The 25,995-nt window shown below is 34.8% G+C and overlaps 1 protein-coding gene and 1 pseudogene across 4 annotated transcripts in view; one reads left to right on the top strand and one right to left on the bottom strand.

The window, feature by feature from the left end:
- Positions 1 to 25,995, top strand: part of SGCZ (sarcoglycan zeta) — a 1,153,587-nt gene that overhangs the window by 895,405 nt on the left and 232,187 nt on the right. For 3 of the 4 annotated variants that reach the window (NM_001322881.2, NM_001322880.2, NM_139167.4), the window contains exon 3: positions 18,823 to 18,924. The exons of the other annotated variant lie outside the window; for it this stretch is intronic. In NM_001322881.2, the coding sequence (NP_001309810.1) occupies positions 18,823 to 18,924 (102 nt within the window). The remainder of the gene's footprint in view (positions 1 to 18,822; positions 18,925 to 25,995) is intronic. 4 annotated transcript variants of the gene reach the window in all.
- On the bottom strand, positions 23,511 to 23,572 carry RNU7-153P (RNA, U7 small nuclear 153 pseudogene; annotated as a pseudogene).

Here is a 25,995-nt window from a genome sequence, read left to right as displayed (position 1 = left end):
CAAGCTGTACCTTGGCCCCTTTCAGTCAGGGCAGGAGTGGCTGGGACACAGGGCACCAAATCCCTAGGCTGCACACACAGCCCAGGGACCCTGGGCCCAGCCCACAAAACCACTTTTTCCTCCTGGGCCTCCAGGCCTGTGAAGAGAGGGCCTTCGGTGAAGGTCGCTGTCATGGCCTGGAGATAATTTTTCCCATAGTCTTGGTGATTAACACTAGGTTCCTTGCTACTTATGCAAATTTCTGCAGCCGGCTTGAATTTTTCCCCAGAAAATGGGTTTTTCTTTTCTATCACATAATCAGCCTGCATAATTTCCAAGCCTTTATGCTCTGCTTCCCGACTAAAACTGAATGCCTTTAATAGCACCCAAGTCACCTCTTGAATGCTCTGCTGCTGAGAAATTTCTTCCACCAGGCTGGGCGCGGTGGCTCACGCCTGTAATCCCAGCACTTTGGGAAGCTAAGGCAGGTGGATCACCAGTTCAGGAGATCGAGACCATCCTGGCTAACATGGTGAAACCCCATCTCTACTAAAAATACAAAAAATTAGCCGGGCGTGATGGCGGGCACCTGTAGTCCCAGCTACTGGGAGGCTGAGGCAGGAGAATGGCATGAACCCGGGAGGCAGAGCTTGCAGTGAGCCGAGATAGCGCCAGTGCACTCCAGCCTGGGCGACAGAGTGAGACTGCACCTCAAAAAGAAAAAAAAAGAAATTTCTTCTGCCAGATATTCTAAATCATTTCTCCAAAATTCAAAGTTCCACAAATCTCTAGGGCAGGAGCAAAATGCTGCCAATCCCTTTGCTAAAACGTAACAAGAGTCAGCTTTGCTCCAGTTCCCAACAAGTTCCTTATCTCCATCTGAGACCTGGAATAAGCCTGGAACTTATTGTTCATATCCCTATCAGCATTTGGGCAAAGCCATTCAACAAGTTTGTAGGAAGTTCCAAACTTTCCTACATTTTTCTGTCTTCTTCTGAGCCCTCCAAACTGTTCCAACCTCTGCCTGTTACCCAGTTCCAAAGTCACTTCCTCATTTTAGGGTATCTTTTCAACAACACCACATTCTACTGGTACAAATTTACTGTATTATTCTGTTTTCACACTGCTGATAAAGCCAGACCTGAAGCTGGGAAGAAAAAGAGGTTTAATTGGACTTCTAGTTCCACATAGTTGGGAGGCTTCAGAATCATGGCGGGAGCTGAAGGGCACTTCTTACATGGTGGTGGCAAGAGAAAAATGAGGAAGATGCAAAAGTGAAAACCCCCGATTAAACCCATCAGATCTCATGAGACTTATTCAAACAAGAATAGCACAGGAATGACTGGCCCCCATGATTCAATTACTTCCTCTTGGGTCCCTCCTATAACACATGGGAATTCTGGGAGATACAATTCAAGTTGAGATTTGGGAGGGGACACAGCCAAACCATACCAGTTGGCAAGCAGTTTGAGAAAAAAATGAACAAGGGCTTGAAAGATAAACATCTCTGATTTTCAGCGTCTTGTCACTTCAAACCTAGCTAGCTCAAAATGATGTTACCCCACTTCACACCCATTAGGATGGCTATTATTAAAAAAACAAACAAAAGGTAACAAGTGTTAGTGATGATGTGGAGGAATTGGAAGTCTTGTGCATTGCTGAGAGAGATGTAAAATGGTACAAGCATTGTGAAAATACAGTACACAATTACGCAAAATATTGAATGTAAAATTACCACATGATGCAGCAAATCTGCTTTCGGATATATACTCAAAAGAATTGAAAGCAGAGTCTCAGATATTTGTACACCCTGTTCATAGCAAAGTTATTCACAATATTCAAATGAAGGTTGCAACCCAAGTGCTCATTGACAGATAAACAAATACATAAAATATGGTATATACAGATAGCATAATATTATTTAGCAGCAAAAAGGAAGGAAATTTTGACACATGCTACAACATAGATGACTCTTGAAGACACAGTTAAATAAGTCATATACAAAAGGACAATTGTTGTATGATTACACTTACTTGAGGCTCCTCGAGCAGTTCAGAGAAATAGAAGGTAGAATAGCAGTTACCAGGGGCTGGGGGAGAGGGGATTCAGGAGTTGTTGTTTAATGGGTATAATGTCTTAGCTGGGGTTAATAAAAATTTCTTAAGATGGAGAGTGATGATGGTTACTCAGCATTGTGAATGTACTTAATGCCACTGAACCATACCCTTAAAAATTATTTAAATGGTTAATTTTATTTTAAGTATATTTTACCACAATAAAAAAGCATGTTACCTCCAAAAAGAATTGGTTTTGCACTTTATTATTTATCAGAGATTTTCTAGCTATTATCAGTGGATGCATTAGTCTGCTATAAGCTACTGTGTCATAGGCTCTCTAGTTACTTTTGAACATTCTATAAACTCATTTTTTCAACCTCAGTGAACGTTTGTCAAGTACTTACAAGTACTTGTGCTTGTACATAAAGGTCATTTCGATAAATTCTGGAGATAAAAAGACAAGGAAGACATTATCTCTTCCCTTATTAAAATAAGACCACAGGGATAGAGTATTCAGCAAACCAGTGAACTGTAATGTGTTGCAATAAATACGTGAATAAAAGAAAAATAGGCTGTTATAGAAGCAAAGAAGATGGAACAGGACACATTAAGGGAATGCTTGTAAAACAATAAAACTGTTGCTGTAATTGGATCATAACTAACCAGAGTATGGTTTAGAGTATGAAAAGCATTTTTGGTCATATTTTCCTTGGATACTGACAAAATTGGCTTTTTGAAAGTATAAGAGTGTTAGCAACATGGGAAGAAATCTTAACTGGATACATTAATGACAATAAGAACCTTTAGAAAAATGATATTATATCATAGACTGGAGATGAAAGAAAAAAACAGAATTGAAACAACAGCAGTGAAGATAAAAGGGAAATGTAATTGACCATATCTTCAGCAGATTTTGCTTTATTTTTAACTTCACGTGTAGAAGATTGACGTCATTCTGTTTGTCAGCTGATGAAATAGTGTCTGTATCATTTGTTCCTTCAGTGTTCCTCTGTTATGCTTTACTATTAATGTTGAATTCATTCTTTCATTTCATTTTTTATATTTTCGTTCCATTTCTCTTATTAGCATCTGTTCTCTCTTTATAGTATTCTATTCTTTTTAGTAATTATTTCATTCCCATGTGTTTTTTCCAATATATTCGTCAATTTTATGCACATATTTTAAATTTACATATATTATTTTAGTTCTCACTTTCTTATGTGCTATGTACTCGTCTTTTTAAGTTCCATCCTTTTGGCTAGATCTATTCCTTTGCTTCAGGTAGCTGCATGATACTGTGTGGTGTTCATGCACTATACTTTACTCAGCAAGTGTTCCACTAATAGATGCTTAGGTTTTATTCAAGTACCAACCTCCTAACATGGCTGCACACAAATAAACCATGCAAGCCTATTATCAAACATATTCATAGGATATGGCAACTGATTCGTCGTGTGGAATAAAAAGAAAACATTGACGATGATTCTGAATTTTGTACTGAAAGCTTGGAAGAGCATGGATGGTGAGGTCATTACCTGCAATAACTTATCCTAATATCCCATTAAACATCATAATTTGTGTCCTAAGAGTTTTGTCAATGTTTCTGTATTTAAACATTTAGAGAACAACCATTCTCAGCAATTGTTTTCAGAACTTGGTTTAACATTCACATAGAGAAGAGGTGTTCTTTCTCTGGCTTTTAGGCAGGTGTAAACCAAATTAGATCTGCATTATTTGTCTGGCCTTGAGCGATTACACACAATTACTGTTGTTTACAAATACTTTAAGGAAGTCTATGATAATTGAATTACTGTAGAAGAAAGTTTGCAGTAGAAGTAAAGTGCTTTCGTAGCACTGATTTTTCTTTAATAGAACACTCTGGAGAAAAAAAAACATAATATGTTATAGTTGTCAACATGAATATCCTTTTTTACTAATTTTCTTCCCACTTGGCAGAAATATTAATGTACTAATTTCTCTAACATAGATTAAAGTTCAATTTCATTTTTGAGCATCAGCCTTACCTTTGCCTTAACAATGTCTGTGCACTTGTCCAGGCTGAAGCCAGGAGGACCAATGACTGTGCAGAAATGTGGCTTAAATGACAGACATCCTTTTCTTACCTGCTCCTTAAAACATGAGCACTCTTGTCATAGGGCACTTACATACACATTTGTAGCATCAATACTTGAATTTTCAAATTGGCAATTTAAAACCCCTGTAAAACTTATTGTAAAGGCAAAAAAAGCCAGTTTGTTCACTCTATTTCATAAGAAAGTTTTCAAAAATAAACACTAAATAATGTATGAGGAACAAAGTAGATGCATATTTTAATGAGTTTCAATTTAATTTTTAAAAAGTATTAGGCATTTTATTGCATTTCAATACAAAATATTCCTCAATAAACAAGAGAATAACATTCCATCAGGGAGCAGGATGGAGCAGAGAGAGAAATCAAGCTGTGACAGAGCAATTGCAACCTCGAATAAGCACCACCTGCCCCCAAGCAGGATATTGGGAGCTAGAATGGCTCTTGAGAATTGTCCAAAGGTGAGATGGGACAGCTGGGTCTATACATTCTCACATTTTTGGTCAGTTACATAAGCTACCCACGTGGGTGTCTACCCTTGGAAAGATGGCTTTATTCTGCTGACAAGGATGCCAACTAAGTTTTCTATTGTTGGTGCTCCTAATAGTTGGGGCAAATCCTTCATTGAAATGAGACCAGAAGGCCCATCTTGTGGCATGACCCAGCTCCTCCTTTCTTAGGAGTCTGAGCCTTTCTCAGGCTAAGACGACTGCACTTTTCCATTTACTGTCAAAATTTGCTAAGAAGGTCAATAGCTTCTGGGTCCAAAAACTGATCAAACTTGGGCAAGGAATCTTGACTTCTTTATTGCAGTAACTGCCTTAAGTCTCCTGTGCATCCATCCTTGATATCTTGCCTGCTACCAATTGAACAGGACCTTTGTTGAAGAAACATTTTCTTAGCCTCCATGGACAGCAAGAGTTATTAAGCATCTCCTTATAACCTTCTATGTGTTACACCCTGGTTGTCCCTCTGACCTGGCCCCTCATTGCCATAATTCTGTTCATCCGGCTTCTGGCTATTTATATCTGTTGTGTCAATGCTCTGCCATCTCCATTGCTAAAAGTGGGCCCTGTTTTATAACCATCTTTTCTATTATCAGCTCTGACCCATGCAGGGGAGGTACCACTGGACTTCTTGGTGATTCTTGTATCATTCTCACCCAGAATTTTTAATGGCCTTGATAATTGGCATGTCCTCTGTGCTTTTCCATAGATCATACTCATTTGGTAGGTTTTCCGACCCTACCCAGTATGTTCATTCCACTATATCTACTTTCCTGAGACTTTCATTCTCTTTTTCACCATCTGCCATAGCAATTCTGGTATTTTAACCTGACTTAACTGGGTCATCACTTTTCCCATACTTCCGGGAGTCATTCTAGTAACAAGTTAGAATCGTCTCCTGTAGTCCTTTCCAATAGTAAAATTCTTTATCCCAGGAGAGTACTCAAAATCTAATCTTATGTTCTGACCACCTGATCAAGCACCCTCAGAAAATAATCTCACCCCTTCTCTCCCTCGTCTTGCTGATACCTGCTGATTGGGCTTGTCACTCCTTCTAAATAGATAATAGTCTCTTCCACCTTATCAGGGCCAACTCATACACAGCTTTGTGTTGCAACTAAGCCCTAGTTTTGTAGACAGTGGCCAGGAGAACAGGTGAATAAAGATAGACAAGGAAGGGGACAATTGCAGACTTTTTTGTGGAAGGCTTCTGCATGTCTTCCATCAATCAGCTGGGGAGTTCCAGCCATATATTGGGAGGGGTGGCCTACTTCTAAAGGTGTATAAATTTTAGGGAACTATGGAGATACTTGAAAGGGCTTACAGACAGAGAATACTCACTCACAGTCCTCCCAGTAATTGGGAAAATAGGTCCTTCCTTTAATGGCCATATGGACAGCACTTCCCTCTGTACACCTGGAACAGTGCCAGAGTAAAGGCAAGTAGAACAATTGAAAACAAGTGTGTGGGATGTGGTGACTGGTCCATTATGAGGATTAGAAATGAAGAGTCCAGGATGAGATACAGATTTCCATTAAATAGAGATGATAGTAATTCTTTGAGGTAAGGAGCACAACAGAAGAAACAGTTCCAGTTGAGAGATGATTACTTTGTTTGAGACACATTTGGTTTGGGATACCTGTGAAATCCAGAAAACAGTAGGCAGTAAGCAGCTGAATCCCTTTGTCTCAAATTCAAAAGATAAATCTGGGTTTTAAAACTCTGGTTGTAAACCACCGTGAGATATCATCTCACACCAGCCAGAATGGCTATGATTAAAAAGTCATAACATAACAGATACTGGCGAAGTTGCAAAGAAAAGAGAATGCTTATACACTGTTGATGGGAGTGTAAATTATTTCAGTCATTGTGGAAAGCAGTGAGGCAGTTTCTCAAAGAGCTAAAAACAGGACTGTCATTAGATCTAGAAATCCCATTACTGGGTATATACCCAAAGGAATATAATCATTCTATCATAAAGACACATGCACATGTATGTTCACTGCAGCACTATTCATAATATCAAAGACATAGAATCAACATAAATGCCCATCAATAGCAGGCTGAATGCCCATCATTTGTAGACTGAATAAAAAATGTGGCACCTATACACTATGGAATACTATGTAGCCAAGAAAAAATAAGAATGATATCATGTCCTTTGCAGGAACATGGATGGAACTAGAGGCCATTATCCTTAGCAAATTAACACAGAAGCAGAAAACCAAATACTATATGTTATCACTTATAAGAGGGAGCTAAATGATGGGAACACATGGACACATGGGGGAAACAATATACACTGGGGTCTACTAGAGGATGGAAGGTGGGAGGAGGGAGCAGATCAGAATAAATAACTACTGGGAACTAGGATTAGTCCTGTTGAGGAGATAATCTGTATAACAAACCCCTATGACATGAGTTTATATAACAAACCTGCAGATGTACCCCTGAACCTAAAAGTTTTTTTTAAAAAATACGGTTGTAAAAATAAATTTTGGAATTAACATTGAGTAAAGAGATGTTGTATACCTGCCTGCAATAAGCTTATAACCTGATGCAGGTATAATGACAAGCTGACACACAAACAAATAGAGACTGGCACAAGCTCTGGGAAGACTGTTGAAGGAAATGTGTATGGCGCTGTAACTCGAAAGTTCTGAGCTTGTATGGAAGATATCTTCAGCAAGATTTGTCTGAATTTCTATACAAAGGATGAGACAGAGATAATTATCAAGGAGGAAAAGGATTGGAGAGAGACAATAATATATGCCATTCCCCTGTGGCAGGAGCTTGATTTAGCTAAAGGTATGTCTGTCTGTGACAGCTGATAAACAAATAAAACTTAGAAAGTATGCCATGTGGAAGTATAATAAGGTATAACGGATAAGATGTTAAAAAGAAGCTAATATTACATATTTTCCAAATGGGTGATTACCAGCATCTGTAATGAAATTAACCAGATTCAAGAAGAGATGCAAGACTTCATGTTTTAGGAAAAAAAATTCATCCTTGGAATTCAAGGGTGAGATAGATAGAAATCTACAGCACCCTTCAAAGAAGCTTATAGGGTCTTTTAAAATTCAGTTGAGAGATGACCCATTGCATTTCTGCATGAAAGGTTCTCCTTGATGTTTGGAAGGATCTTCAGACACTAAAACTCCAAGGGACTTCTTTAGTCTAAGAGGCTAAATGTTACAGTTTTATAAACTCAATAAAGCACATCCTAAATCACCATGGAGATTAGGAGCTTCGTGAACCATAAAGCAACCCAGCGTCAGAAAACTGTTATCAATCATATTGCTGCCTAATCCCAAGGAGAGTCAACTTGCTCATCTGTGTCTTCATGTGCTTTCTGTCCTTTCTCTGTTGACATTTACCTAATAGTTCCTCAGTCCCAGCTCAGAAGGATATCTGTACTTTTAAGATCAGCAGTTTAATCTTACCTACACCTGTTCTTCCACTTAACTCTTCTAAATACACAGTCGGAAATACACACAGGCACACACAAGTTACTTCTGTATAATGAATGTATTACAAAAAAGTATATATGAAGAAGTAAAAAAGTGAACTTTTTATTTCCAGAAAACATAGATTTAGATTCCTTTAAAACAGTCTATGGGTGTACAAATAACCATAGTTTGTTCAGATGGCTTCGTTTTCATGGAGGACTTTATAAGCACTCCAAACTAGAGTTTTGTCATATCAGAACTCTCTTTTCAGAATACCACAATGCAAATTTGAGGCAAATAAGAAATTTGTGCTGGGAAATGAATCAGGGAAACAAACAAAAAAGCACAAATAAATTAAGAAGATATACAAATTAACTCAGAAATAGTTAAACTAATAATGAAGACTATTAGGGAAGCTATATTGGGATTACATAATACAATAAATGTAACATGTTCTATACCTGTAGTACCTGCCCCGACTAAGAGTGAGAGGACTGGACTTGTGTTCTGGATGAGTAGCTAACTAGGTGCACAAAACTAACAACCTAATTTATTTTCTGTGTTACATAAAATGAGGAAAAAAATATGTCAGTTTTACAGGATTGTTGTGATGTGTCATAGGCTCAATATCTGCTGAAGTGCTGTATGAACTGAGCTATTATTAATATATTTAGTGCCATAGTTAGGGTGGAAATTAAAGATGTTGTCTTATGAGTCTAGAAGAAATTCCTATAAAAGGCTTTACCCTAAGGAGTGCTTTGGTAGGGTACCCTACCCCATAGTCTTATCCTTAACTTAAGGGTCTAGAAATGTGATTTTGTTCAAGTCAAGAGGTGATTCTCCTTTTAGGAAATAAATTATAGTAACAGACAAATATTTGCAAAAACAGAGGTGTATTCAGGATTACCTCCCTGGCTCATTTTTTACTGAAAATAGGAAGTGACACCCGTAAAGCAGATCACATTTCTAGCCATGTTCAGTATTTAAAACTAGCTAGGAAGTCACATTAGGACGCAACTGAATCTTTACATAGACTTCCTAAACATCTGTGGAGACAGGAGCTTATAACTCCTTAATCACCTATTTTTGAGACTCCATGCTAAAAAATATAACTCCATTTTAAATGGTCTTTCTTCAGAGTTGGTAAAATATGAATAATTCATCCCTGTATTTCCCTGGTGTATTTAAAGTATTTCCCTGGTGTATTTAAAGGGGTATTATTTCACCTACTCTAAAAGGTGGGTTATGTGAGGGGAGGACCCATTGACCAAAATGTTAGGAGACCTCTGTATTAGACACAGTGTGTTTCTCTACTGCAAACTCATCTGAATGTTAATATGCTAATGTGTACTATGAATATCTGAGTAGGAGTATATCATGCAATGGTTTTCTAAATTTATTTGAAAAAGTAACTTTTTTTTTTCACCAGGTCATTAATTCTGGTATTCTATTAAGCACAGTTGGGAAAGACAAGCATGCTAATAGTGAACCTTTAGTCTTTATTGCCTTGTTAAAAGATTAACATATGGAAGTCCCTCAGCCCCCTACTTACAGATGGCAATTTTTAGGGTACAAAACATTATTATTAATCCATTACTTATTATTTTCCTTAAGTTAAATGCCTGAGGCTCTTTGCAGTTGTCTCCATTTACCATCAAGAAATATGATTTGTTTATGATAGCACCCTTGGCTTTTCGATATAGTATTCTTTTACAGCAAGTCTCTCCCACAACCACTGATTTGGTTCCCAGCAGGTAACCTTAACTTCCAGTTAAAGTGGATGTTGTTTCTATGCACATTGAAATCTGCATCATGTAACTAATATTAGACTGAGCTATACCAGTTGATTTTTGCTGACAGTGATTCCAATTGCCTGTAGAAAAATATATTTTTTTCTCAAAAATATTGAATTTAAAATATGTATGTGTTCCAAGTGTTCCTACTGGATTGAATAGCTATGGTCCGTTCTCCATTTCGTATGTGAACATTTTATATATATACACATATATGTATATATATGTATATATATGTGTGTATAGATATATAGACACACATATAATATATACAAACCTATATAGGAGAACATTATATATATACACACACTATATATATGCATATAAGTATATTCTATATATCTACATACTCTATACTCTATTGCAAACCAAATTTTATAATTTAAATATAATTAAATGTTATGATTTTACCATTTATATATCAAGTTACTGAATACTCTGGGTGGTTCCTTATTTGTAGTCTCATTGGATTTATTCATTTATTTATGTAAGGCTATTCAAGTACCGTAGTGAGAAGGGGAAAAGAGTAGAAGGATTTTGATCTGTAGCTGACTGTGAACAATCAATTGAGATAACTCACTACCTTCAGACCAGCCTCACTGGATTTATTAAGTGCGTCCGTTTTTACTCCATCATAGGCCACTATGATCCTATCCATTTTGTCAAATTAACATATTTTTATTTTTTATTTTATTTTATTTTATTTTTTTGAGACAGAGTCTCTCTCTGTCGCCCAGGCTGGAGTGCAGTGGCGCGATCTCGGCTCACCGCAAGCTCCGCCTCCCGGGTTCACACCATTCTCCTGCCCCAACCTCCTGAGTAGCTGGGACTACAGGCACCCACCACCACGCCCGACTAATTTTTTTGTATTTTATTTTTAGTAGAGACGGGGTTTCACCGTGTTAGCCAGGATGGTCTCGATCTCCTGAACTCGTGATCCGCCCGCTTCGGCCTCCCAAAGTACTGGGATTACAGGCGTGAGCCACTGTGCACGGTCATCATATTTTTATTTTTAATTTTTCATCCTGCATTTTTTTGTGGAGCAATTATATATGTTCTTTGAGGCTAGTGATATGTGGATAGTTAAAATAAAAATATGTATTTGGGTAATACTTAGAATAAGGATATGTATAAGGGAAATATGTATTTATATTTATTCATAAATATATTACATGTATTGTATAAATGTATTATATATGTGTGTCTTTTCATAAGTATGAATACATATTTCCCTGATACATATTTCCTGTATTATCAGTAGAGAAAATTTTGGAAAACAAATGAAAATTTTTTTATCATGCTTTTAAAAAAGCATTTGCATATCTAAAGGAACACCAGTGCACTTAAGAGAAACAAAATACAATATTTAATATTATATTTAATACAAAAGTATATTAAAAACTTTCTTTTATAACCCTGACAACTGAAGGTACATAAATTATGAAATTTGAACAACTATTGGCAAAGAACAAAGGTGATAAATCATATTCAGGATGGTAAAAGTTATATTATTAACAGCAATCTATAAAAATGTTTCCGTACAAGTTGAATTAGAGGTCAAATTCCTAGGTCTGTCAATTGTTACCACTATAGAGTTTATTTCCTGATAATATGCAGGAATACAGGGAGGCCAATTAAAATGAAAATAAAATACAAGCTTACAGCAAACAACATTGTAAAACACACATATAAAGCAGGCCATCAACTTATGTTTTGTTTGTTTTTTCTTTTATGCTTGGGGAAAAACAGCTCAGTATAAAGTATTAAAAAACACAGCATAAACCACATGCTTTGCTTAGGTATATTAAAGAGAACCTCCTCCTCTTTAATTAGAAGTTGAAGTTAATTTTTTCTTACTGATGTAACATAGATTTAAAAATTAATAGCAAAATGAAGTTTAAATATGGTTTTTAATTTCATTGAAACAATTTAATATTTCCATTCTTTATGTATTCCTTTTATTTTATTGAAAATATTTAATTCTTAATGTCTTACAAATATTTGTCATACCAAACTCCAAGTTGTCTCGAAACTGTGTCTTTAAGATTTTTTCCTCATACAAATTTAAATATATAATAAATAATATCTTTAGATATTCAAAATAATAAAAACACATGTATCTACCTTCCTTCCTATTGAATTTGTTTTGAAATGTGTAATACTGGTAATTTGAAAGGGGATTTTTGGTTTTATCCAGAAAAGATGTCTAAAATGTATATTTGCTTCTCTTGCAGCTCTTGGAGTCCTTCAATTTTGTTTGAAAAGCTTTTTTAGTGATAAATCATTCATCAGATTTTCTCTATTTTTAATCGATACATCTATTTTAAAATATTTTCTTAATTTCATGCCAAAATGCTCAGCACTATGGCCATTACATTTCTCTGGTAAGCAGTATCTTAAATCTTTGGAGTAGAAAACATTTATTTAACCTCTAATTTCAGGTAACTCAAGAGGAGGGAGTGAATTACCATGAGATCATTGCAAAGTTCTGGCTGTGGATTTTAAATTTCAAATGTCATTTTAAATTTAAATTTAAACAGTCATTTTAAATTTAAATTTAAAATTTAAACAGTCACTTTAAATTTAAATTTAAATATTCTTAAATCGTAGGTTTGAATGTCAACAAAGAGAATATTATTTTTTCATTCGGTCTCTTATAAGAAATTCCAATAAGTATTTCTTAACAAATAATCCTCTACTTTGTCAAAAAAAAGAAAATTATGCTAAAGATTACTTTCAGTTTTTAAAGACAAATTCTATAAATTTTAGTAATTGTGATCTTCACAAGCATATTAATTTAGTTTTGGAGTTTTTGTTATTTAAGTAAAGAGGTAAATTCTATTCAATTCAACAATCAAGCATTTTACTAACCACATACTTCATATCCACTGTTGGAAGGATTATGTAAGATGAAGAAATGAACATGAAGATAAATAAGATTGATCATAAACTTTTAAAGAAGAGGTAAAAATGTATACACAGTTAACTAAAATTAGAATCAGAATATGATACATTTTATAAGAAATACTAATAGAGCATTTTCTAAATATAAAGTAGAAAACAATGTTATTTCTGACTAGGATATTAATCATGGCCTTCTTTGGACAGGTAATTCTTTGGAATACGGTAAGAGCATTAAAAGGAAATGGCAGTGAAGATTATCTCAAGCAGCTAGAATGCATGGATCAAGAAATTTTGATGGCAAAACGTGGAGCTGTTCTGAAAAACAAACAAAAAACTGCTGGCAGTACAGTTTAGTGGAAGTATAAGTTGAGTGATGATGAAAAAAAAGCAAATACAAACAAACCAAAACAAAAAACAAATACCAACACCAACAAACAGCTAAAAACAAACAGGATTGGAGGAGACACTTAGCAAATCTAGAAATTCATTCTAAAGGAGGGGGTTGGGGCACACTGGAAGAGTCTGTTTTATAATATTTCCCCTAAACAAGAATATGATGATCACAGTGGATTATTTAGAAAGCATAGTAAATATTCAAAATGGAGGACACAGATCTATACCCAGAGGCTAAGGTGACACTTTGGGCTTTTGAGCAAGCATAATACTAAAATAATAAAATAACAATATAAACAGTGGTTAGGTGGCAATCTCCAAGCTGGAGATAAAGTGATCTTGAACTGTCATAGTGTCATTGGAAATGAAAAAGAAGAAATAAAAATAAGAGAAGTTGATATTTTTTAAATGTGTTGATTAGACAATCTACTTTTTAAAATATTAATTTTCAATAACCCACAAGTAAAGGGAATAACTATTAAAAATATACCAGGTCCAATAGTAATTCACTTACATAGTGTCTCATTAAATTAATACAACATCCCTGTGAGGAATACTGTTATTTGTCTGATGTTTATAAAATACACATTTGGGTTTAGATAGACAACATGTCAAAGTCAACAGTTAATAAATAAAAAAGTCAAGTTTCAAACCCTAAATGTCTGATTTCATATCCCCTTCTAAAATGACACTATACTGTCTGTGAACAATAGGTAAATCACATGTGCCCTAGTCAGTTTTTGCTACTATAACAAAATACTGGAGACTAGGTAATTTAGAAGAAAAAAAAACGCAGAAAATATTTTCTTACAGTTTTGAAGGCTGGGAAGTCCAAGATCAAGGCACTAGCAGGTTGTGTTGTCTGATGAAGGCTGCTGTTTGCTTCCAAGTTGGCACAGTGTTGCTGTGTCCTCCAGAGGGAAGGAATGCTCTGTATCCTACCTGGGGGAAGGCAGAAGAGCAAGAGGTCGAAACACTGCGTGAAGCTTCATTTACCTCTTTTATAAGGGCCTTAGTTCCATTCACAAGGGAGGAGCCCTCCTGGCCTAATAATGTCTTAAAGCCTCCACCTCTTAATACTATCACATTGGCCCTTAAGTTTCAACACCTAAATTTTAGAGGGGACACATTTGAACCATAGCAATGATGAACAAGAGTATCATAACTATAATGATATGAAATTTGGTGTAGATTATACTGAAGTTCAAAGATAGTTTCTCTTAAAATAACATGAGTTTTTATAAGACAAAAACTAAAAATTTAAGTAAAATGTTAATAATAGTTAAAACTATTGAGTAGTTTGACATAAATTAGGCACTATTTTAAGCTTTCTACATCCTCATGTAATCTTTATCATAGACACATAACTTATGTTACCATTCCATTTACAGATGATAAAATTAAGACACAAAGTGATTAGTTAAGTGATTGGCACTTAACAAAGGGAAGAAGTGGCAGAACCAAGACAAGGTCTAGGTGTAGTACATTAGAGTCTGTTACCTTCTGGTAACAATGTCTTCCTGAACAGAAAATTAACAAATCATTTTCTCCCTTTCAGATAATGAAGGGATCAGGAAAATCATCAGACACTAAAAATAAATTTAATTTATAATGCTCTTGCAGAAGGAAAAGCAAATTTCATCAACTCATAAATAGTTACTGGACTTAATGCCTGAGTGTGAGAGTCAGGTTGATTATATATGGAATATATGTTATACAGCTTTATACATTTTATCATTTCATCTAGGTAATATGGAAAACCTTGAAAATTCGTTTTTTCATACAAGACAGGAAAAAGAAAGGGAGAAATAGACACAGTGAAGTGCGATTAGATTTACAACACGGTGTTATAAGAGCAGTCCTTGTCCAGCATGGTGAAACCCTGTCTCTACTAAAAGTACAAAAGTTATCTGGGCGTGGCAGTGCACACCTGTAGTCCCTGCTACTCAGGAGGCTGAGGCAGGAGAATCACTTGAACCTGGGAGGTGGAGGTTGCAGTGAGCCAAGATTGCGCCGCTGCACTCCAGCCTGGCGAAAGAGCGAGACTCCATCTCAAAACAAACAAGCAAAAACAGTCCTACATTTACAGAGGGGAATTCTGTTTTATCTAATTTAAATGAAATGTGATGGTATATCTGAAATCATATATTAAGTAGAAAATATAAGAAGAAAACACACGAAGCTCAAGACTGAAAACTCCAAAATCAAAGATGCACATAGCATAAGTAATAACACACTTAACTGTGGATGCCCAGTCCTCTTATTTCCAGCCATCTCATCAGAACATTTTTTAGTATTAATATTGAAATGGGAATTACAATTGTGTTAGAACTAGTTTCCATTGCTCTGAAATAGTCTCCCAGTGAAATTAGGTATTTCTGTAACAACTCCAAGGAGCGCACTTCAGAACATTTTCTCCCAGCAGGCATTTAAGAATATATATGGACAGTCACTGTGTGAAATTTAGTCCAGAAAATTCCATTTATACAAAATAGTGTTTTAAAGCCCCATGTCATGTTATAGGTTCTAATTAATACTCTTGGTTTCCTGAATACCAGATAATTCTCTGTCTTCTTAAATCTACCTCCACCCCTGGGGTGTTCTGTAAGTCTTATCATGCCTGAAAATGCTCTGAACTTCAAGATCTCCAAATCCAAAATTACTCTTTCTGGTGATAAACCTGTCTTCATATTATAATTGCCATATTTCTTAACATCCATTGACCTTCATCATTAGTTTATCACCATTTGCCATTCTTTGACTATGCACTATTTTGGTAACCCAACCCCACTTCTGACTTTCCTTGTCATGCTTCAATGAGAAAAATAATGGTTAGTCATTTGAAAACATCTATTTTTTTTTGCCACTTTAAGAATACCACATCTTTATGACTTTCTGTCATTCCTGTCTAGCAAATCCTCACTTTTGAGTTTCTCTCACTGTCAATTCTGTTTCTGTTCTTAAATAACTACAGTGCTGCAAAACCACACTTATTAGAGCCAGTAAGTGGGTGGTAATGTAATTGAATGTCTAAATCTGAGCCACTTTTTATTTTTGAAAATGTAAGAGGATACTATAAAACTGGTGTAAATCAGCCCTTTCTCAGAGAAACCAGGATGTATTATCATCCTAACAGAAATGTATGTATTTTCTCATCTGAATAACTCTTTAATTCCACTTGAAATCGTTCATTCATTTTGGGTTGGTTTCCTGTAAGGCATTTCCAGCATCAGTTTTGACATTTTCACTTGCCTCAAGGAACAAATTTCTTCACTCTCATCCTAATTTTAATTTAACCCAAATCTCTTACTTTCTCCTTCTATGGGGCAATCCAGACCTCGTCACCTCCAAATGTCCCTCTTACTCTGTGGTCATTATCCTTTAGTCTGGCTTTTTAAAAAATTTAAAGAGTCCTTCAATTCTTAGTTAAATCCTATTCGTTTTTTTCTCTCTTCAAAATTTTTCTATAACGTATTTTCTGTTGCTGATATCATAATGTTATATAATTCTACCTCAATGGCTTTCTCTTTTGGAGGGGTTAGGCCATTATATTCCCTCAACTTTCGTCTGATACTGATCACAACATCCCTGAACACATAAAAGATATTTTCCCAACCCATTGACATCATCCAAGAATTTATCCTTGGTTTTATAAACATCTGTCTACGTTGGGCTTGCTTATCCATAGTGACAGATTCAAGTATTTCTTGACACGTCCTCATCTTTTTTTTTTTTTTTTTTTGAGACGGAGTCTCACTCTTTCGCCCAGGCTGGAGTTCAGTGGAGCGATCTCGGCTCATTTGTGGCTCCGCCTCCCGGGTTCGTGCCATTCTCCTGCCTCAGCCTTCCGAGTACCTGGGACTACAGGCGCCCGCCACCAAGCCCGGCTAATTTTTTGTATTTTTAGTAGAGACAGGGTTTCACCGTGTTAGCCAGAATGGTCTTGATCTCCTGACGTCGTGATCCGCCCGCCTCTACGTTCCGAAGTACTGGGATTTTACAGGCATGAGCCACCGCGCCGGGCCCACGTCCTCATCCCTTTCTGTGGATGTGCTGGTTGATATATATATATATATATATATATATATATATATATATATATATATGTGTGTGTGTGTGTGTGTGTGTGTGTGTATACAGATATGTATATATAATTATATATGATTATGTATTGTCCTATAATTAAAATATGATTATATATCATTGATTATATGTGATTATATACATGATCAACTATATATTATATATAATCAACTATATGTGATTATATATGATCTATTATATATGATTATGATTATATATAATCTATTATATATGATTTTGATTATATATCTATTATATATGATTATGATTATATATAATCTATTATATATGATTTTATATATATATAACCAATTTTACAATGGAGATATAATGTTAGAAAGTGAAAAGCTAAATTTGCTTTGGGATTGAGCCTACAAATTTTACTATTTCAGTTTTTAAAGTCACTATATTTTCTTATTCATGCTTAGTTGTGAAACCTTGGATGAATCTTGAAAGTTCTTCCTTTCTGTGTCTATACATAAAATTAGTCAACAAGTCTGTAAATTTTTCTTCCACCATATTCCTCAAACTACTACGCAATTATGCATTATTAGTAATACTGTATCAGTTAGCCCTAAACAGTACTTCTGCCAGATTAATCTTCTTGAAGCCTGCCTCCAATCATTTCAAGCTATTGAACTATGTAAGAACCTTTATAGTGTCTTCTTTTGGAATCTGACTTAAGTACATTCTCCTTAAATTATATGTATGGCTTTCCTTTCTCCGGCTCCAAAATGTACTCTCCATTGCTTTCTCTCCCAATATTCAAAAATAGAAATCTCATACATTAGTGAGATCAGATGCTGTTATCTAAATGTTGCCAGAATGTTTATTTTGTTCCACCCTCCAGGGACCTTCCCTGTTGAAATTCCACATTCTTAACAACTTTATCGTAGTCAATCTCTTCCATGAGAAATGGTTTACTATCTTATCAGATATAAAACCTCCTTTCTTTAATTCCCAGTAGCACTCTGTTTAGTAATTTTATTCTGTCTCATGAGCATTATTTGTGTACCTGTTTTATCCTTCTCAAAAACTGCTCTTTTCTAAAGGATCTGACAGACACCTACTCATGGTTTGAACACTGGAACATCATGGTTACTAATATCAGACAATCATTAATTACTTGTTAAAATTATTGTATCAATGTGACTCTGAATATTTTAGAGTTATTTGTATAACTGTAATGTAAAAATATTACTAGATTTCTCTGCAAACAAAGTTATTTCCAACAGTCAGGTAGCAAGCATCATTATACAAAATAAATAGTTGAACTGACTGATGCATGAAGAAAGTAAAGGATTTATTCGTGGGCAAATCCTAGTCCCTGGTAGAGCTCGAAGAAGACACAGTCCTTTAAATCCTCTTTTCCTGTTCATTTTAAATAGAGCCCTCTATATGCATGCAAAGGGCTGCAAACATTAATTAAGTAGATTCAATCTCTCATTTTCCTTAAATCATCACTGATTTGAGCTCACTGTTTTCTCAATTTAGGCCTAAGAAAATTATGGCCAGATATTCATTCTCCAATTAACCTAAAAGTGAACTATATTTCATTGCTTGTAGGATGGTATGGGAAATCTGAGAGTCACCAAGAAGGGAATCCGACTTGAAGGTATATCTGAGTTTCTACTTCCATTGTATGTGAAAGAAATTCATTCTCGAAAGGTATGTGATACTGGCTTTGGCTTACTCTAAAAGATAATTTAGAGGTTATGTTTTAGCTTGAAATAGCAGGGTAGAATCCCCTTATCTCTTCAGCATGTGTTTAGTTTCCTTAAGCTAAACACCTATGTTTAGAAATCAAAATGATAACATCATTGAAAATCAGTGGAGGTTAGTTTCAACCCGACAAATCTTAGAGAACCATTTTGAACTAACCTGCAGTGTAGCTTTTCTACTCTATAAAATGTGCCTCTCTATTTTCACTGGAAATTAAAATATAAAGTTACAGTAAATCCCAAGGGGGCATTTGATATGTCTTGAATAATTTTTTCAAAAAGGCACTGATTTGAATTAATGATTTTAAGTCAACATACTATGTATCTGATCAGCATTAATAGACATGCATTTTCTAAAAGAAATGACAAAGAATTTTAATGTAGAAATTAATTTCTGGATGTACGTGATGTAAAACAAGCGAGAATATTTATCCTTCAAATATGAGTGTGTTCACATGTGCTACCTGTGTTTTATCTCTTAGAAGCATGCTAAAAATTAAGATTGTAGCTTAGATTTTGTTCATTTTGGCTTATGTACATTACCTCTCAGAAGGCAGTAAATATTCTTGGATATATCAAAAACTTACTAGAATTTTTCATATCTATTACATTCCCCCTGAGATATTTTTCTTCCATGTGTATTTGTGGAAATAAGTTTATTAAGAGAGAAGTAATGGAAATTGTGTTATATAAAAGTGGGAAAAAAGGTTATACTTTTTTCATAAATGTGAAAGTCTATTTTAGGCTAAAATAATGTTTTAATATTTTAATCAATGTAGAAGATTAGCAAATGGGTTGCATAGTGAGCCATAATTTAAATAATTTGTATTAAAGTTATTTTTCCTTAAGTATGAAAATGAAAACAGAACAAAGGATTGCTTCTCATAAAACATTTAATTAGGATATTAACTTTAAATTTCTTTTTTAAAATATGCAAACTGATACAGCTTCTAATATACTGTATTGACTCTACTCTGGTACTAGAAATTTTATTTTGGTACTCCTTTAGTTTCTGGGTATCGTTCAGACAAGTAACACAGTAGACAGATGTATGAATACCTGACCTTACATAATTAAACTTTTAAAAAGAATTAAATTTAAAATGAAAAGTTTAGTTCTTTTGCTTTATTTTGTTTTTGTGAAAAGCGGAAACAAAAAGCCTGGTTACACATGTTAGTGTCTTACTTTCATTGATAGTCACCATCTTTGACAGTTATTTACTGAGTCCTTGTGTTTGGCACTATTAAATAATGCAGTATTTGAAGGAATGAAAACTTATACATGGAAATCAAGAAACTGCTAAACATAGGAAGCAAGTGAAACTAAGCATAGGCCAAAACTTCTCTGAAAATGCCTCCTTACTGATAAGTCCAGGGACAGCAGAAATGATTTATCTCTAAAGTCACTTAGGTTCATTTGTAGTCGCTACGTGGGAACAAAATTTTAATGATTGTGAAACCCTCTACCAGCAGGCAGGTTGTAGAATTTATCTTCTCAGCCAGGACATTTCTGAGAGCATAACAACAGGTGTCAAATTAGGATTCTCTTGAGAAACAGGAGTATGTGTGGATTCCACCTATGGACCATAGAGGATGGAGTCCACTAACATTATAGCATTAACGTGTGAGGTGGAGCCACTTGCGCTTCCTAGTTTCCATCCCCGAGAAAGCTAACTCCATGTTCACAAGCATTTCCAAAACCTACTGTATTGACTGAAGAATATATGCTCCGCTTCATATCCCAGCCCTGATGCTGGTCCTTCCTGTGTCTTCCTTCATTATTGTTTGTCTCCCTATAACTAGGAAGCATGGGCAGGCACATTGGTAGCCAGACAGGAAATCTGGTGCAAGAACAGAAATAGGAGTGGACTCATACACTTCTTGGAAAATTCTCTGCACATACACTTCAAAAATAAACATGAACGAAATCTCCAGACTGCCTTCCACAGTGGCTGAACTATTTTATGAACCTAAAAGTTGGATAAATATTTAAAATAAAGAGAAAAATGTATTTTATAAGCACCTCTCACATTATGATTCACTTGTCCATGAATGTCATTTACTATTTACTTCTATAAAGCCAGCCACAATTTCTCTTAGCCTTAGTTTGTTCATTATTAAGTGAGTTTGGTAGAAAGTTATCAAAGTGCTTAACTCTTAGGTTAAGGAAGAACACAAACATTTCAATAATGAAAGCAGAAATGATGTTTTTAATTTTAAAAATTCTGTTAAACATTTCAATCTTTTCACGGATTTTCATATAGTCAACAATTTTATGATAAAATTCCAAAGTTCGTGTAGTTCTAAGGTAAGGAAATCTATTAGAAAATCTAAAAGGCACTTTGGAAGATTCAGTGAAGCTGAGAGAAAAAAAATGCTGGGTAGAATAATTTTGATTTCTGTGTGTGGTTGTGTATGTTTAACCTCTATTAATGCCATGCTGTTGCTCTCTTTAAATTTAGCCAGTATTTCACTCTGACATACAGAATTTTCTTATTTAAAATTACTTTGTGGTTGTACAGGCCTTTAGTCCTACACATGGAAAGATAATAAAGAGATGTCTATTGAACAGAAGATGCAGTCACCCATAAATACACATCTAGCCACCTAACCTAATCAACTATGGGCTGGGCCAACTTTACAAGCTCCTCTCACCCTCTCTCCATCGCTAAATATCTACAGACTTTTAAGGTTCTATGATTAGCCTCAGCAATTCACACCCTTCTTCAGGCTTTTCAAAAGTTAACCCAAGTAGTCCAGCAAAAAAAGTAAACAGAAAAACATATCATAGTGTATCCAGGAAATATCTTAGAATTCAATGTATTTTTCAAAATTAACATTATTCTCAGGGAAGATTACTCATAGAACATTTGTGAAGTTAAATATATAATACTATTCAGACAAGAACAATACAAAAGATGTGTAATCTGGGCTAGTTTATATAAATGGTAATGATGATAACATTCTGCATCTCTTTTCAAGGCACTTGGTCCAACTTTAGGCCAAAACATTTCAAATATCGGGAATTTAGGACACCTAATCTTCAGACTTTTTAAAACACTTAATTGGAGTATGTTTCCCAAGGTTACACGAGTCCAAGGTAGTCATGTTGTCAAATTACATACATTTAACTACTTCTAACCAGCAAAATTTGCATCGTGTAGTTCTTCAGAACCTCTTATCTGAGACGAACTAAACAGCCCTCTTGGTTTGTTTGTTTCCTGTTCAAGGACTCTTAGGTGAGGTGGTATCTCACCACTGCCACTGATCCCAGCTTCCTACATGACAGACTGGAAGTGGTGACAGAGGAACTACTACCAGATAATTCAAATTCCAGTAACTCCACAGTTAAGCACATCAGTCTTGAGTTCTCAGGATGCCCGTGTTAGCAGAGGTGTGAATAAGGCTCTGCTTTTCCCATCATGTCCCTTTCACTGTGATGTTAACCCAGTTCTTGGTTCCACCAGTTCTGCACCTTGTGTGTTCAATTATTCTTTATAGAATTCAGACAAAAAGCTGTATACATACGTAACAAACTTGCACATTGTGCACCTGTACCCTAGAACTTAAAGTATAATAATATAATAATAATAGTAATAATAATTATAATAATAAAAGAATTCAGTCACAAAGCCATGGGGCCAGGCGAGCACAGCAAATGTCTTTCCTGATTACATGACATGCTAATCTCCTTACCTCTTTCATTCAGGTAACACGGCAAATCTGGTCTATTTAGGTTTCTTTCTTTCATACTAGCTAATTCATATACATAGATATCTGAAGGCTTTCATAATCATTGTATTATCATGGTTATCATTATCATATTATATTTACATTTTTAATGCAGATAAAGTTTATGCTTTTACATTAATCAGTAATCACTTTAGTCAAGTTTTAAAGAAACACAAACCACTCCAAAGTCTTTACACTCAGAAAAAAAAATACTGTTAACATTTCATGAACATATCACCGGTATATAATTATATATTTGCACAAATAAAAGGATAAAATATATACATATGTGAACTGTAATTAATATATGTAATTTAATCGAAAAAATAAAAATAAATTAGGAAATGGCTGAACTTAAATATTTCTTCACCACAAGAACTTTTTAAAATAAAACTTGTCTTTATGGTTAAGAATAAAAGATTATAAATACCATTAAGAAGCTGAATGCATTAGCTCCATGTTTTAATTTCAGACAGCTTTTCTTAACTCCCTGCAGTGTGATTGGAGATGATTAGCTGCTCTCCAGTTTGTCCTCACTTCTCTTCATTTCCAGTTTGTTGATAATTATATTACTTTAACTTTGTCAGAATTCATAATATTTACATTCAGTTCTGCAAATTTAACTGCCTCGGGTCTTTGGTCTTGATTCTACATATAAATGGCTACAGTTACTCATCGTCTGTGGTCTTCTTTATATTATGGATTTTCCATTTCTCAGTTCATTAGTCCAATCATTCCTTCCCTCCTAGTATTCTTAATTAGTTTTGTTTGCTAGTTTTGATTTGTTTTATTTACCTGCATGGGGGATTTTCCTGGAAAAGCCAGAAAATTTGCTAGACAGATTCTGAAAGAACTGTAACAGTGCTAGTTGGTTTTTTAATCCTTGAAATCATTCATGCTTCGGGTGTCTGACTGTTGCCTTTATGCTTTTCTGGGAGTGTTATTAATGGTTCATGCCTTCCTTGCCTCAGATTTGTGAACACACTTCACTATTAAGTCCAAGCACTGAATATTGCCGGAAGAAATCCAAGGGCACCTTGGTATTTTTCTCCTTTTGATGACATGAATGTTCTGCTTGGATGCCTGCTATATTTTTGCCATTTCACTTTTTTCATTTCAGAGAAATTTTACCTATTTTGCCACTTAATAGCTTTTCAGTTTTATTCGTTGGTTTCTTCTACTTCAGAGAAAGCAATAATTCTTATGTTAGGTCATCTTTGTTCCCCACAGCTATCATAATTTCATGAATAATTTTTAACTCTTTATATGATTCCTCTAAATACAAGTGACTGTCATCTAGAGTTTTTCTACGATTCCATTCATTTATTTTTTTTCAAATAAGTTTTGCCCTTACGCTCTCTAATTCATATTTTTTTTTGTATAATAGTGAATCTCAGAATTTTCCTTTGGTCTACAATCTTCTTTTATCTTATAACGATTTTTTACTGTCTATGAGTTTGGTTTTATTAAAATTATATAATGCTGAAGTTTTAATGATTGAAGCACTTACTTAGTTTGATTATTCCTGATGAGTTACTGTCTAGCTCTTCTGTTTGTTTTGCTAGAGAGATTGTGGTTGGAAAGGGAAAGGCAGACTGTGACTGTTCTGTCTCTTCTGAGGTTTTGAGGTGTTTCTAAATGATTTGTGCCAACCAGACCTGGATTTTAATTCCGTGGTTCTTAGCTGCACTTTCTCTCCTGTAGAATACTTCCAATGGTGTACACAGTGCTCAATACTTATGAGCTTTTTCTAGCACTCTCTATGTACTGTCTGCTTTTTCTCTATCCACATTAGTTTATCTGGGCTTGACTTTCATTAATATGTTTCTGGAGATATGGGTTAGGTTTGGGTAGGGATTCATGGTCTGTGGTGCTATGAAATAATCTTTTTTTTGACTTCTGCTTTTTATGTTTTATATCATAAACTTGTATTATGAAATTGTTGGTTGTTCAAAAAAATTTAAAGAAGTAATTGTTAAAGCGTGAGGGAGATTTGTAAAAACTTTTCTGGAGTTTGATGTATAGTATTAGGTAGGATCCTTTCTTCCTCTATCTCTTCCTTTTCTTGCCCTTCTCCCTCTTCCTCCTGTTCCTCTCCTTTTCTCTTCCCCCCTTTCCCGCCTTTCCTCTTCCTTGTTTCTTTCTTTCTTTCTTTCTTTTGAAAAACCAATAGTCCCCAATACCATAATTGGAATAGTCATATTTTTATTACCGAATTGAAATACAACCTTTCTTATACACTGCATTCTCAAGCATACATAGATTTATTTCCAGTAACTCTATGCTGTTCTACTGATATACTTGCAAGAAACCCAAAGTCTAGCTGTAAGAAGTTTTTTTTTTTTTCTAATTGGTAGAGTGATTCCTTTGTTTTTGCTATTTTTGAAAGGCTTTTGCCTATCGTGCATTTTGTCTTCAAAATAAACTTAATAATCCGTTGTGAAGTTTCATAAAAATTTCTGTTGGGAAGCTAATTATGGTTACATTTAATTTTTGGAGAATGACATCTTTGTGTTAGGTTGGTGCAAAAGCAATTGCAGTTTTTGCCATGACTTTTATGGCAAAAATCACAGTTACTTTTGCACTAACCTGACAGTATTGAGTCCCCTTATCTAGGAGCCTGGCTCTTCTCTCATTTCTTTCTAAACCTCTTTCGTGTTGTTCAGAAACATTTCTTAACAATCTTCTCCTTATAAGCATTGCATATTTCCTGTTAGTCATTTAATGTTTTTATTGTCTAAGTTTATAGATTTTCAATTCCGTTTTGTCATAGACCCCTGTGCTTGTGTGGAAAAGCTATTATTTGGGGTGTTTGGGTGTTGTGTATATAATCTGGCAATTTTCTTGAAATTTTATTATTTCTGTGGCTCATCTGACAGATAATGATTTTTAATAATAGCTAACATTCAGCATACACTACAGCTCTGGAGTCCAATAACTGGTTTCAAATCTTGGCACTTGTAACTTTAGTTAACCCCTCTTTGCCTTAGTTTTATCATCTGCAAGATGAAGTTCATAGTAGCACCTAATATTTTAATGACTACACTGTTATAGTTGTTAGATGAGATAAAAGCAATATAACCTTACCACAGTGGCCAACTCAAGGAATATTATTTTTAATTATTTTTATTCCCAGCCAAACATTGCGCTAAATGTTTTACATGTGTTAGCTCATTTAATCCTTACTATGTGATAGGCATTATTGTCAAGGAGAGTATGATTCAAAAGTAGAATCAAAGGATTTGATGGCAAATTTGCATATGGGATGTTAAGAGGAAGAGTAAATG

This window comes from Homo sapiens, chromosome 8, assembly GCF_000001405.40.
Source record: "Homo sapiens chromosome 8, GRCh38.p14 Primary Assembly".
Classification (NCBI taxonomy): Eukaryota; Metazoa; Chordata; class Mammalia; order Primates; family Hominidae; genus Homo; species Homo sapiens.
This window is presented reverse-complemented; position numbering and strand designations above follow the sequence as displayed.